This window comes from Homo sapiens, chromosome 17 (genome assembly GCF_000001405.40).
Source record: "Homo sapiens chromosome 17, GRCh38.p14 Primary Assembly".
NCBI lineage: Eukaryota > Metazoa > Chordata > Mammalia > Primates > Hominidae > Homo > Homo sapiens.
The window spans coordinates 40,516,596-40,530,987 of NC_000017.11; the positions used below are offsets into that span (position 1 = coordinate 40,516,596).

Sequence of the window (14,392 nt, forward strand, 5' to 3'; positions counted from 1 at the left end):
TCCCATTCTGTATTGCATTTAAAAAAATGCTGGCTGTGACTCACTAAATGGACTATAGGCTGGCAGTTGGGAAAAAGGTCTAGACAACAAGATAGATGCCTGCAAATTCAGGAGAGTAGGGACTTAATTCACTTGTACTCACTGCTGTCCCCCAGGGCACTGCACAGTGTCTGGCACCCAGAAAGGTGCTCAATCAATATTTGTTGAATGACCATATGATAGGAACAAATATGTATGAATGAGTGAATGAATTGCCTGCCCCACCCAGACAGGAAACTGTGGCTTCTATCAGATTTTGCTGTTACCGAAAAATACCAGCCCACTTCCTGTGGCTTTGATCTGCAGCCTTAATTCTAAACTGCCCTGCCTCAGCCAACAGCTATCTGCAGCTCATTTCCTGCTTTCTGGCCATCTTATCTCTGTCTTCAAGCATTCCTCAGCTTTCTCTTTCCAGGTAAGTATACCCAGAGCCCCAGTTCTTCCTCTTGCAACTTTGGCAGCACAGGGTGGGGCTGCCCTTTTGGGCCAAGTACTATCCCAGATCTCAGGCTCCTGGGGTGTGGGGCCTTTCTGGGTCAGGCGTGTCCTTCTGATTCCAGCCTCCTGGGGGGCAGGTGCTAGGGCTGGGCCTGGGCATCGGTCCACATCCTGTTGATGGTCTTTGGGACAGGATGGGGGATGAGGATGGAGGGTAGACATTGATGAAATAACCATGCAGATGTCTAATTATGGACTGTGAAAGAGGCTATGAAGGAAAAGTCAAGGTTGCCTTGAGAATGTGTAACAAGGGACATGCCTATAGGGGATCACGGAGAGCTGCCTCAATTAATCCAAGATCTGAATACAATAGAAGCTAGCCAGGCAAAAAGGGTAAAGGAGAGAGAAAGAACTTGCAGATGGAAGAGACTGCAGGTGCAAAGGTCCTGGGGTAGGAGTGAGTGATAGCGGTCCTGTTGAGGAGCTGAAGAAAACTCAGTGCAGCTGGTGGACAAAGACAGAAGGATTTACAACAAGGAGGCCAGAGAGGCACCTAGGGGCCAGCCCCAGTGCACCAGCTTAGAGGTTTTGGATTTACCTTGAAAACAGTGGGAAGCAACAGAACATTTGTAGAAGCGTGATGACATTGTGTTTGGTTTTTTTAATTTGTTTTTGTTTATCTATTTTTATTTTTATTTATGTATTTTTGAGACAGGGTCTCGCTCTGTCGCCCAGGCTGGAGTGCAGTGGTGCTATCTCAGCTCACTGCAATCTCCACCTCCCGGGTTCAAGAATTCTCCTGCCTCAGCCTCCTGAGTAGCTGGGACTACAGGCACATGCCACCATACCCAGCTAATTTTTTTGTATTTTTAGTAGAGACGGGGCTTCACCCTGTTAGCCAGGATCGTCTCAATCTCCTGACCTCGTGATCTGCCCATCTCGGCCTCCTAAAGTGCTGGGATTACAGCAGTGAGCCACAGTGCCCGGCCCTGTTTTGGTTTATTTTTGAGACAAGGTCTTCTCTGTCACCCATGCTGGAGTGCAGTGGCACGATCATAGCTCACTGTAGCCTTGACCTCCTGGGATCCAGCAATCCTCCCAAGACATTGTGTTTTGCAAGATCCTCTGGATGTGGTATGGCTAAAGGGTTGGGGAGCTGATCAAGTGCAGAGGGCAGGAGCCTAGGGTGGTGGTGGTGGAGATACAGGCACATGACTGGCTTTGAGAAGTACAGTACTTAGTAAGTACAGTCCAATATAGTCCAATACAGTAGAGTTGAATTTGTCCATTCAACAGTGTTAAACACCATGACTCTAAGGACCAGAGAGCCAGGCTGGGTTCTGCCTTTAGGCAGCTCTCAGTCTTCTGGGAGTGCAAGTTGGAGGCAGATTGGCCAGGCTGAAAATGCAAAGTGCTCAGGGATGTTCAAATAGCAAGCATGCCTCCTGGAGTGCATGCCCAGAGGAAGAAGGAGCACCTTCAGTGGGTGCTTTCCTGCAAATACTGTTTGAGTTCCAGGCAGAAGAGAAAACAGGGTGCTGGGAGAGGATTCATTAGGGTCTCCTTCCTGACTCCTCACCATCATTTATAGGACTTTTGGCTACAGGGATCTTCCCTGCATTTCACCGGGGCCTATAGTAGGGCTGAGAGTGTGAGAGGGAACAGGGGTCTCCCCAAGTGCCTGGGGCAGCGAGCCTTGTAGGTCAGGTGAGGGTGGCATCCAGACTGGGCTCTCACTCTCCTCTTCCTGCCTCTGACTCATTTTCCTTGGAAGTGCATTCCTCTGTAAACCTGATTACTCATGGAGTCTCCGCCCTCCACCTGCAGGCCTGCGCCCTTCCCTGAGGTGTCTCAGTGAGCAAGCCTGAGCCCCCACCCCTATCCCTGCATCCCCATCCCCAAGTAGGGCCTGGGTCTCCCCCTTGGAGTGGGAGCTCCCTGAGGGCAGGGCAGGTATGTTTCTTTGCTTGGCGATTAGGGCTCCTCCAAGGCCTTGAGGAGGGTTTCTCACCCACAGGCTTGTTGCCAACCACCCTCCCGCCACCCCTCTGCCCCTCAAAGGGCTCTGAGGGATCCTCCTGTTATATGGAGTGGCAGGTTGTGGGATGGGTTTGTGGGGCTCCTGCTGAGGACTGTCTAGAGGGCTTCACACCCTGGCTGTGGGGAGTATACATAGTCCCTGAGGGTGCTTCCCCATCAGAGCCCACTCTGTCCATTTCATCCAAAGAGCCCCAGGTCGTACTCTCTGCTGTGACTGGAAATGGGGCCGGGTTTAAGGGACTGCTGGGGGCTCATGGAGGTCAGCTTGTGCTCTCCAGCCTGGCTTTCCTGACTCCCGAGGGCACTGACAGCAGTGCTGTCTCCTGACAGCATCTGGCTCCCTCCTCTGCCCCATGCCTGGGCTCCTGGGTCTGCTTTATAGACCCGCAGCAGAACTGCACAGAGAGGGTAAGAGCTGCCTTCTAGTCAGCAGAAGTTCAGTTGGAAAGAGACTCTGCTGACCAGCACCAGGGCATCAGGGGCAGCCCCATGGTTGGTCCCCAGGGCTGGGAGCTCACAGTCACCTGCTCCAGTCCCTGCCTTCCTGCCAAGGGGAGGACCCTCTCCAATGTGAGCTGGGACCTGAAGCAGGAGCCTTTCCTTGCTCTGGTCTCACTACACTTTGGTGTCCACCCAGCCTCCTAAGATCACATCAAGGGGCTCTTGGGAGAATAGGACGCCTGCTCCCCCCACCTGCCCCCTGCATCCCAGCACTCTCAGACTTTGGATGGTGTAGCACGGAACTGTAGAGCTTTAAAGGAGGCAGCAGAGTTTAGGGGAAGAGAAAAACGGTTGATCTCTAACAGGCATTCTAAGTGGAGTCCTCGACAGCTGGGAGCAGCTCCACAGGCTTCAAGGTGTGGGTGAAGCAAAAAGACCAACTGAGACCCAGGGAAGCAGGAGGGGCTATGGGAAGATCGGAGGGCACTGGGGGCAGCCTGTGCCTTTGAGGGCCTCAGAAATATCCCATACACACTCCCTTCTGGAAGGACTGAGGAACAAGCTCTTGGGAGTCGCATCCAAACTGGTCAGAACCGGCCGGGTGTGATGGCTCACGCCTGTAATCCCAGCACTGTGGGAGGCCGAGGTGGGCAGATCACCTGAGGTCAGGAGTTCGAGACCAGCCTGGCCGACATGGCGAAAACCCGTCTCTACTAAAAATGCAAAAATTAGCCAGGTGTGGTGGCATGCACCTGTAATCCCAGCTACTTGGGAGGCTGAGGCAGGAGAATCACTTGAACCCAGGAGGCAGAGGTTGCAGTGAGCCGAGAGGGCACCACTGCACTCCAGCCTGGGCGACAGAGTGAGACTCCATATCAAAGAAAAAAACAAAAAAACAAAAAAACAAATTGGGCAGAACCACTGGGGTAAAATAGGCAACAAGCTCAGAAGGTTTACATATTTGGGGGGTGAGGGTCAGGGGAGGTGTCCCATGGAGGCGGTCTCAAAGGGAAGCCACGTGTTGAATACTTCCAGTACCAATAGCAGGGTGGGGGGATCCAGGAGTAGTGAAGCAGTGAATCCCCCAGCCCATTCCCACCCCTTACTCTGGAACCTCCTCCTAAAAGTACAGGAAAATCCTTATTTAATAACAATCAACAGAACAGGATTATGAACCGACACCATACAGAGGTATTTGTAAGAAAGAAGGTGGATGCCGGAATCCTTTCTTCAAACAGAAGCTTACCAGTAAGTGCAGACTAATACAACAGGTAGGTCAAGGCTAATCCAGTTGGAGGGGGTGCTGGTGGAGGTGGGCACTGAGGGAGGGGGTCAGCACCCTAGCCGTCCAGCCCTCTCCATCCTCCTGCACCCGCCACACCTGGGTTCTGTGCAGCCTGATGTGTCCCCACCCCCTCCTATGCAATGAAGGAGGGAGACGCAGAGATGGAGGGCGGCTTCCCCAAGACCACCCAGGGTACTGGTTTGTGGTGGAGCGGGAAGAGGTCACGACGCCTCCTGCCTAGCACTCCCTCTCTTACCCCAGCCTGTCTGTTGCCGCCTGCATCCCTCCATTCACACAGTGTCTTCTCCTGCCAGACACCAGCAGGACACAGCGGGCAGGACAGGTTCCTCTGGGTCTGCCCGAAGGACTCAAAGTCCAGGGACAAGAGTCGCTTGGTGGCCTCAGGAAGGAGAGAAGGAGGCACTGTTTCGGATGGGCCGGGGGAAGTGGAGGTGGGATGCAGGGCTGTGGAGTCCTCCTGGCAGCCTAGGCTGTGTGTGGGGCGTGGCGGGATGCCAGAGGGTCTGTGTTGAGGCCTAGCCCTGTCTCCTCTACAGTGGAGGAACTGCTTTGGGACTCAGTTTTGTTACTTGTAAAATGGGGCCACGCTCTGCCCTTCCAGCTTCATGTTGCTGAAGGGAGGCTCTAAGGAGACGGAAGCTTCCTGTTCCTGTAACAAGATGCCATGAGCGAATCATACTCTCAGCCTGGCCCCCAGGAGTCTCCTCCCTTCGGGCTTCTGGAGTTCCCTGCTCCACTCTGACCCCCAGGGAGAGTCCCCACGTATCCTCCCCGCTGTGGAGGGTGCCCTTGCAGTCCTCCCTGAGCTGCCCCAGGATGACTGGCTCCACAGGGAATGTCCTCCCACTCTGTAGGAAGTGGAGCATGGCTGAGAAGAACTCCCTGTGGTCAGGTCACCCCCATCCCCAGACGCACACAGACACAAACACATACATATCCTGAGGTATTGAAGAAGAATTCACCACACCCTGAAGATTGCTTTCCACAAAGCACTCTCTCCAAGCCCTGAGTCACCCAACTCCTTCACTCTGGACACCCTGCCAGGAACAAGGATATTTGTCCTTTCGGCAGACATGGGTTCAAGTCCCTGCTCCACTGCTAACTAATGGCATGGCCTGGGTCAAGCATTACTTGCTAATCTCAGTTTTTTCATAGGTAGAATAAGGATAATAGCATCAACCTTATATGTTGGTTGTGAGGATCAAGTGAGATAATGTGTGTGTGGCAGGAGGAAAGCCATCGGCGGGGGCGGGTGGGGGTCGAGTGTTCCATCCCAGTCTCTCCCTTCTCTCTGCTCATCAGAGAAAATCCTGACTTGGCCTATTTGAATTGTGTGTGTGTGTGTGTGTGTGTGTGTGTGTGTGTGTGTGTGTGTGTGTGCGCGCACGCCTCCCTTAACCCTCTATGAAAGGTGCTGATTTATTGGAATAGTCCTTAGGCATAGGCGATATAGAACTGGGAGGAGAGAGAGAGAGGGAAGAAGGATTAGCAGCAAGACTGAGGGAGGAGGGAGGTTTGAGCAGCTGTAATGGGTGAGGGAAGAGAGTGGGTGGGAGAAAGGAGATTTGAGAAGCATCGCTATGATCCATGAATCTTTGTAGTCAAGTTTAAGAAATTCAAGTAAACAGAGTTATTGTGAAATTATTATTTTTTGGTTGCTATTCTCTCTCTCCTCTCCCACTCTGTCTCTTTTTTTTTTTCTTTGAGATGGGATCTTGCTCTGTCGCCTAGGCTGGAGTGACGCAGTGGTGAGATCATAGCTCACTGCAGCCAATTTTTTTTTGTAGCAACAGGGTCTTGTTATATTGCCCAGGGTGGTCTCAAACTCCTGGCTTCAAGTGATCTTCCTGCCTTAGCCTCCCAAAGTGCTGGGATTACAGGCATGAGCTACTGCGCCCAGCCTGGTTGCCATCCTTGATGATAACGCAGCTTTGAGACTGGACCATTTGCATGACGGCCTTATAAGTGATACCCCTAAGTAACATGCTTAGCACACAGTAGGGACACAGTAGGCACAGTGACTGGTGCTGTATCCTCTCAATTTGGATGACACTTGTGTGCACATGTACTGTCTCCCATATTGGACTGGGTGTTTCCTGAGTGTGGGTTGGATCACATCAGCCTGGGAGCGACTTGAAGCCTGGGACTCTATTTTGTTTCCCTGCCCTCCCACCCCCCGCCATATTAGATGAGAAGCTCCTTGAGGACAGGGATTCTTCCTGTCCTGCTTTCTTCATTAGACCTGCAACTCCCAGTGTGGGTGATGCTCTTCCTCCTTTTGGCTCTGCTCGAGGACTGAGAACAGGATCCTGCTCACAGACTGTGTCTTAGACCCACCTGCCTTGGCCTCCCAGAGTGCTGGGATCACAGGCGTGAGCCACCGCACCTGGCCATGATAGCTTGGCTTTCATATCTCTGCCTGGCAGTGGGTTTGGGATCTTCATAATCCAGTTCAGCTTGCTGCAACTCAATTAGACTCCAATACTTATTGATTGCCCACTGTGTGCTAGCTATAGGACTGGGTGCAGGGGAAATATGAGGATTCCCTTTAAGGAATCCCTCTCCACCAGAGGGACAGGTGTGTGCAAAGCTCTCTTTGTTGCAGAGAGATTGGAACTACAGCAAAGGTATGAACAGGTGTCACGGGGACACAGAAGAAAGAGCAGTTACTCTTCCGGAAGGTTGGAGAAGATTTTGTGAAGGTGGGGATGTTTGATTTGAACCTTGAAGAACAAGCAGAGACCCAAGAAGTACAGAAGAGGGGAGGTGGAAATAGCATGAACGAGGTGGGGCATGGTGAGTAGTCTAGTATGGAGTGGGAAGGAGGAATAGCAATGAGCATTTATTGAGCACCTACTAATCACTGGATTCTGTGCTAGGTGCTCTGCATATATATTATCTCACTTAATCCTCACAGCAATCTGAGAAGGTAGGTACTGATGTGGGAACTAACATTTGGAGAGAACAGATGGTTGAACCAGGATTTGAATCAGGTTTGTTTGACTCCAAACTCCATGCTCTTTTTTTTTTAATCATGCCAGTGGTTTTCCCAGTATATTCTACAAAATTTTTAGGGTTCTGAGGAGGTGCTTTAGGGACACGTATAATTTTAGTTTCGTATTTAAAATATATTATAATCAACAGACACTGAAATGTGTTATGTAACAAAAAAAAGCTTTCCTTCCATCTCTGTGCATATTTTTGAGTTTCTTGTAAATGTGTCATTGATTAGAAGGACTGCACAGTCTGCTCAGGTCTGTCTATGTAAAAGCACACACCCATGCCCACCAGCCTTCATTACAAGGTCAGTGGGACTTCCAATCCAAGAGGGTTGACTAAATGCACATGGGCTTATCTTTACCTCTTCCAGAAATGTCTTTGTAATAAATAATAAACATATCAATGCTTCCAAAGGAGAATTTGAATTGGGAGGGGGCACCTGTGGACAAGAGAAATCCCAACAAATTTCTGGAGAAGTGGTTCGATGGGGAAGGATGACTGAGTAAGCAGGACAGAGGAAGCTGCTGTGTGGAATGCACATGGCTGGGTTTGCAGCCAAAGAGGGAGCTGACCCACCAGCAGAGGCACAGAGAAGCTCAGGACTTGGATGTGCTAGGTGCAATGGAGGGTGGGAAAGGGATATGTGGCTGAAAAGGGGGAGCTTAATTGGAAGTCTAAAAATGGAACAGTTAAATCCCTGACTCTTATATGCAAACTGTTCAGCCAGCAGATGTTTGCTTTGTCCCCCATTTTGCTCCTTCCCCTAATTTCTTCTTTAAAGAAATTAAATTGCCTGAGGAAGACTAGGATAGCTGGGTTTTAAGGTGGCATCTGAGAACAAAGCACATTGCAGGCTGACATTTAGAAATCTCAAGGCATAAAGATCAGTTTACGTGGAAACAAAGCCTGCCATTCATCTCCTCTTATCCATGTACACAGAGCTTCCAGGAAAGTTTTCTACTGCTTCATTCTTAAATATGAATGGACAACCATAAGCCAGAAGCTATTTGAGGAAGCCTGAAATATGAAATAGAGAGACTAAGATAAGCAAAGTGAAAATAAGACCTCTGAGGAAACAAAGACAATTCATACGTAGAATAGAACTTAAAAAAAGAATTCAAGAAGACACTGAATCTATAAAACATGAGTAGTGATATGAAAAGAGAAACAATTAGAGAACACAAAAGCCCCAGACATAGAAAAATGTAATTAAAATTCATTGGAAATGTTGAAAGTTAAGGTCAAGGTAATCTCTCAGAAAATAAAGCAAAAGGTTAAAGAAACAGAATTTTATTAGATAATATATGAGACATAAAAAATTAATACAGGAGGTCCATGTTTGATTTATAAAGATTTCAGAGAGAAGGGAGAAATCAAGGGAGAGAATTTTCAAATAAATGACTGAACAGAATTTTTTAGACAAAACACTCCAGTCTTCAGAATAACAGGATTCATCAGGCAAGCCCCCAGCAAAAAAAAAAAAACACACAAGATTTAGAAATTTCAGAATACTTGGGAAAATAAGAAGATGCTAAAAGTTTCCAGAGAGAAAAAAATCACCTATAAAGGAATGAAAATCGGAAAGTCACCAGACTTCTCACTAGCAGCATTGGATGACAAAAGACAATGATGCAATCTCTTCCAAGTTCTGAGAGAGAGATTTTCAACTTAGAATTCAATACCTAGCTAAACTGTCTACTGGTTAAGAGGGCAAATCAAAGACACTTTAAGATACATGAGGACTGAGGAAGTTTACTTCCTATAGACTCCTTGTGGTAATGCTCCTAGAAAAAAAGACAGCAATAGAGGATGTGCAGCAGTAAAACAAAGGAGAAACCAAGAATGAGAAAAGCATGGAATTTTTGTCAGCTTATAAGTTAGCTTGGTATGTAGTTTTAATTAATTTGTTTATTTAGTGTGTGTTTTCTGTTATTGGGTTTAGGTATCAGGGTTATGCTAGCTTTGTAAGATGAACTGAGTTTTCTACGTTTTTATTCTCTGAAAGTGTTTGCACAGGGAATAATCTCCTTCTTGAATGTTTGCAAAAACAATTGTCCACATCTTTTTTTAAAAAACACTTTTTGGACAATATTTTCTATTTTCTTTCACCATTTTGTGCCTTTTGTGGAGGTCATTCTGCTACCCAATATTCAGTCTTCTTCCTTTATTGAAAAGAATCCAATTTTGCCAAGTTCAAAGTTCAATTTCATGGACTCCCTTTCAGAGAGTGGGGCAAGTGACACAGTTTTGGCCCATGAGATGAAAACACACATTTACTGAATAGAGTTTCTGGAAAAGCTATCAGTTTCCTGATAAAAAGGGACAGACTTAGCTGTCCCTTTGTCCTCCCTGCCTTGTCTGGAATGTAGACAGGATGCCTAGACGTGGAGGAGCAATCTTAAAAGTGTGAAGACAAAAGCCACTTTCTAAGGATGGTGGAGCAGAAAGGCAGGAGTCCTGCTCCCTGGCACCATCATGGAGCATGCCCAGCCCAGATCTGCCCCCCTCTGAATTTCCTGTTGCATTAGAAAAATATGTCCCTTTTTAGTTTAAGTTACTGATCTCAATTTTCTGTTATTTGCAGCAAATTCACTTTCAATTGATACAATCTTTCACGTCAGAGCTGCTTCTTGTAACACAGAAGTTTTCAGATTCTATGAAAAGGTATTGAATGAATTGAAGGCTCTGTTAAGGGGGCAACTATCTCCCCTCCCCATTCTCCTATCAGCCCATAAAACAGGAACTGACAACCTCTTGGAAGAATTGGGAAGGAACTTTTCGATTTTCTCTGTACAATCTTCACTGGTTCCTCTCTGTGAGAGGAGGAGGGACCTCTTGGATTGGTGTCGTTGGGAAAAGGGTATCAAGTGTGCATGGCTCAGCCTGTTCCTGGCTCTCTCTCTGGGACTGACCTGACTGCAAGCAGCATGTTCTCTGTCTGCTCCTGCCTCCTCCAGGCAATGAGCACCAGGGCGGGTCCAGCCCTTGCTTGGGAGGACTTCAATAGTCCAGCTGCTCTGCCGCGAGTGGGTGAGTGAGTTCAAGTCAGAGGAGAAGACACAGAAAGCTCATTTGGGCCTTGGGTCTTAGCCACATCCTCCAGTCCATCTGGACTAGCAATAAAGCTGACATTTTAATCCCTACTTGTCTCCTGTGACTATTTCTCAATTGGATCAGACCTCGGAGAAGTGAGGGATGTGATTAACTAGCACCCGCAAACCCCAACATCTGTTGAATATTTAGCCCCAGCGGGAAAAGCCAAAGTTAGATGAAAACACTGGTTTAAAATTCTGATAATTATTAGACAATACTTCTCTATCCTTGTTTGTATGTCTTTTGATCTTACTATAAAATGTGTATCATGTGGGTTTAAAAAAATTTTTTTAAATTTTCTTTTTGAAGGTAAGAGCCTGGATTGAGAGTGATAAGGCTCTTCTGAGTCTTGGCTACCACTTACTCACTCTGTCCCTTGACTTCTCTGGGCTTCAATTTTACCAATTATATAAAATGAGGAGGTTAGACTAGATGATCCATGAGGGCCATCCCAAGCTTCGGTGTTCTTTCATTCATTTGACCCCTTTTTATTGAGTATGTGTTGAGTGTGTGCTGGCAGCTGGCTCTGTGATGTACAAAACAAACCTGGCCCCTGCCATTTGGGGTTTAGAGTCTCATAGAAAAGACAGACATCAAACACACCACAAATAAGTGGACAATTACAAATATTTCACTTGTTTAGCCATTAAATGTTCCTAAGTGGTCATTTGGATTGTGAAGATTCCTACTTCTTCTCAGTTATCCACACTCAGGGCAAACCTTGCAGGGTCCAGCAGTCACACACAGTGGTGCCACTACTGCAGCTGTGTCCCAGCCATCGCTCTCGGGAAGACAACAAAGAGGCTTCCAAAGGGCTGGCCTTTTGGATTAAAAAAAAAGTTAAGCATTTTTTAAAAAGTCACAAATGAGTAACATGCTTGTTATAAAAATTTAAGCAATAAAGAAAAAAAAATTGAAAGGAAAAAATCTTTCTCTTGTCCCCTCCAAGCCCACTTGGAAAAAGAAATAATGGGTAGATGTGTGTCCTTCCATTAAGCTGCATATTTAACTGCAGGCTCTAGGAGGGCAGGGATGGCGTCTGCCTTACCCACTGCTGTATCCCTGGTGGGTGCCCAGGAAATACTTGCTGATTGAACTAGTGCATAAGTAGTAATCACACATAAAGGCTCATAGATAGCTATTTTTTTAAAGATTGAAAAGGAAATCATGCCACATATGTTTTTTTTCTTGCACCTTCCTTGTTTTTTTTTTTTTTTCACTCAAAAATCTGTCATGGAATCCCTCCATGTATTGGTTCCTAATTTACCCATTCCTCTTGTGCTGGGTTGAATTGTATCGCCCTCAAAAGCTACACTGAAGTCCTAATCCCAGGTCAGGCACTGTGGCTCACACCTGTCATCCCCAGCACCCTGGGAGGCTGAGGCAGGTGGATGACCTGAGGTCAGGAGATCGAGAACAGCCTGGCCGACATGGTGAAACCCTGTCTCTACTAAAAATACAAAAATTAGTTGGGCATGGTGGTGGGTGCCTATAATCCTAGCTACTCAGGAGGCTAAGGCAGGAGAATCACTTGAACCAGTGAGCTGAGATCATGCCACTGCATTCCAGCCTGGGCGACAGAGTGAGATCCTGTTTCAAAAAAAAAAAAAAAGAAGTCATAGGTACCTAATCCCTGGTACCTATGAATGTTACCTTATTTGGAAATAGGGTATTTGCAGACATGATCAAGTTAAGATGAGGCCATGCTCGATTAGGGTGGGTCCTAATCCAATATAGCTGGTGCCTTTATAAAAAGAGACAGAGACTGCAGCCATAAAAAAGAATGGGTTTATGTCTTTTGCAGGGACATGGATGAAGCTGGAAGCCATCATTCTCAGCAAACTAACACAGGAACAGAAAACCAAACACCGCATGTTCTCACTCGTAAGTGGGAGTTGAACAATGAGAACACATGGACACAGGGAGGGGAACATCACACACCAGGGCTTGACAGGGGTTGAAGGGCAAGGGGATTGAGAGCATTAGGACAAATACCTAATGCATGTGGGGCTTCAAACCTACGTGACAGGTTCATAGATGCAGCAAACCACCATGGCACATATATACCTATGTAACAAACTTGCACGTTCTGCACATGTATCTTAAAGTAAAAAAAAAAAAAAACTTAAAGTAAAAAAAAAAAAAAGAGTGAGCGTGAGACAGAAACAGAGACACAGGGAGGATGTCACACAATGACAGAGGAAAGATTGGTGTGATGCAGCTGCAAGCCAAGAAGCGCTGAGGGCGGATAGTCGCCCGTCAGAATCTAGAAGAGGCAAGGAAGGAGTTTTCCCAGAGCCTTGGAGGGAACAGAACCCTGCCGACACCTTGATTTGGGACTTCTGGTCTCCAGATTGCAAGACAATCCATTTCTGTTGTTTTAAGCCACTCAGTTTGTGGCAGTTGATTACAGCAGCCCTAGGAAATGAATCCCTGCCTCTTCAGGTGTATTTAGGTTGCTTCCAGTGTTGAACTATCATAACAATGAAAACTGCTTCCATGGACTGTTTGGAGAGGGGAGCCCTAGGAGGTTTTTTTTTTTTTTGAGAAAGGGTCTCACTCTGTTGCCCAGGCTGGAATGCAGTGGCGTAATCTTGGCTCACTGCAACCTCTGCCTCCTGGGTTCGAGCAATTCTTGTGCCTTAGCCACCTAAGTAGCTGAGACTAACAGGCGTGTGCCACCATGCCCAGCTAATTTTTGTATGTTTAGTAAAGTTGGGGTTCTGCCATGTTGGCCAGGCTGGTCTTGAACTCCTGACCTCAAGTGATCTGCCTGCCTCAGCCTCCCAAAGTGCTGGGATTACAGGCGTGAGTCACTGTGTCCAGTCCCCCCTTTTTTTTTGAGATTGGGTCTCACTCTGTTGCCCAGGCTGGGGTGCAGTGGTGTGATCATGACTCACTGCAGCCTCAACCTCCCAAACTCAAGGGTTCCTCCTACCTCAGCCTTCTGAGTAACTGGGACTACAGGTGTGTACCACCATGCCTGGCTAACTTTTTTTTTTTTTTTGTAAAGACAGGGTTTTGCCATGTTGCCCAGGCTGGTTTCGAACTCCTAGCCTCAAGTGATCCTCCCACCTTGGCCTTCCAAAGTGCTGGGATTATAGGTGTGAGCCACTGTGCCTGGCCCTGAGTTTATTCTTGTCTCCAGGAAACCCTTGGAATAATCATAGACCCTAGCCTTGGGGCCTTAGCATCAACTCATAACCTTGGCAGGATTGCCAGCTAAAATATGGGACACCTGAGTCATATTTGGGACATACTTATGTTACAAAAGTATTTGTTTTTTATTTGAAATTCCAGTTTAACAGGGCTTCTGTGTTTTTCTTTGGTAAACCTGACAACCCTAAACCTCAATCTCCGCCATTGTAATCCTGAGCAGTTGGGCTGTGAGCAGCCTACACTATCCCAGAAAGAGCCTGAGGGTCATGGTTTTCTGCCTGGTGACTGTAGGAGCACTGGAAGATCTCCCCTCGTCCTGGATCTCTGACTGTCTTTTAGCATCCTGAGTGTTCTCAGTGGGACCTGGATGTCCTGTGGCACCTGCCTCCCCCAACAGTGCCCAGCTAAGCTTCTCTTCTGCCCATCTCAGCAGCAAAGTGCTCATTCGCTCCACCCCACCTTTGCCTTGGCAGTGCCTGTCCATCTCCCTCCAGCCTGCTCTCCCCCTACCTACTCACCCCTACTGGGCTTAGGCAAGACACATGTGGGCCTGGCCCGCAGGGGTCCACAGGGCAGAACTAACTCATCAGCTCTAGGTGTGCTGAGTGGAACTGGAGAGGGAAGGGTGCCATGTGAGCTTGTGAAGACGGTGGGCAGTGCCTCCCAAACTTGCCCTATTGTAAAAATTGCCTAAGGGCTGGTTGGAAATGCTATTCCTGGTTGGAATCAGAGATCTCCTGGGAGGGGAATCACAGTAGCTCAGGGACCTGGCCGAGACTGGAGGCTTGGGGGTGGCCCCCTGCAAGGAAGCGCTGTCCAAGCAGAGGTCTGAAGGCTCAGTAGGAGTCAGGCAGGTGAGGCTTTGGGGGGCAGGGT

The 14,392-nt window shown here is 47.8% G+C and overlaps 1 long non-coding RNA gene across 1 annotated transcript, besides 1 other annotated feature; it reads left to right on the forward strand.

The window, feature by feature from the left end:
• The first annotated feature begins 349 nt into the window (after positions 1-349).
• Positions 350-10,407, forward strand: LOC105371773 (uncharacterized). Its single transcript, NR_188623.1, has 4 exons — positions 350-454; positions 4,120-4,229; positions 6,870-7,060; positions 9,849-10,407. It is a non-coding gene; the product is annotated as an uncharacterized LOC105371773 (long non-coding RNA).
• Positions 8,002-8,296: a silencer, noted in NCBI's record as "tiled region #2600; K562 Repressive non-DNase unmatched - State 23:Low". NCBI's record gives its function as "represses a minimal TATA promoter and a strong SV40 promoter by Sharpr-MPRA in K562 cells {active_cell/tissue: K562}" and the evidence as "EXISTENCE:reporter gene assay evidence [ECO:0000049][PMID:27701403]".
• Positions 10,408-14,392: the final 3,985 nt, after the last annotated feature.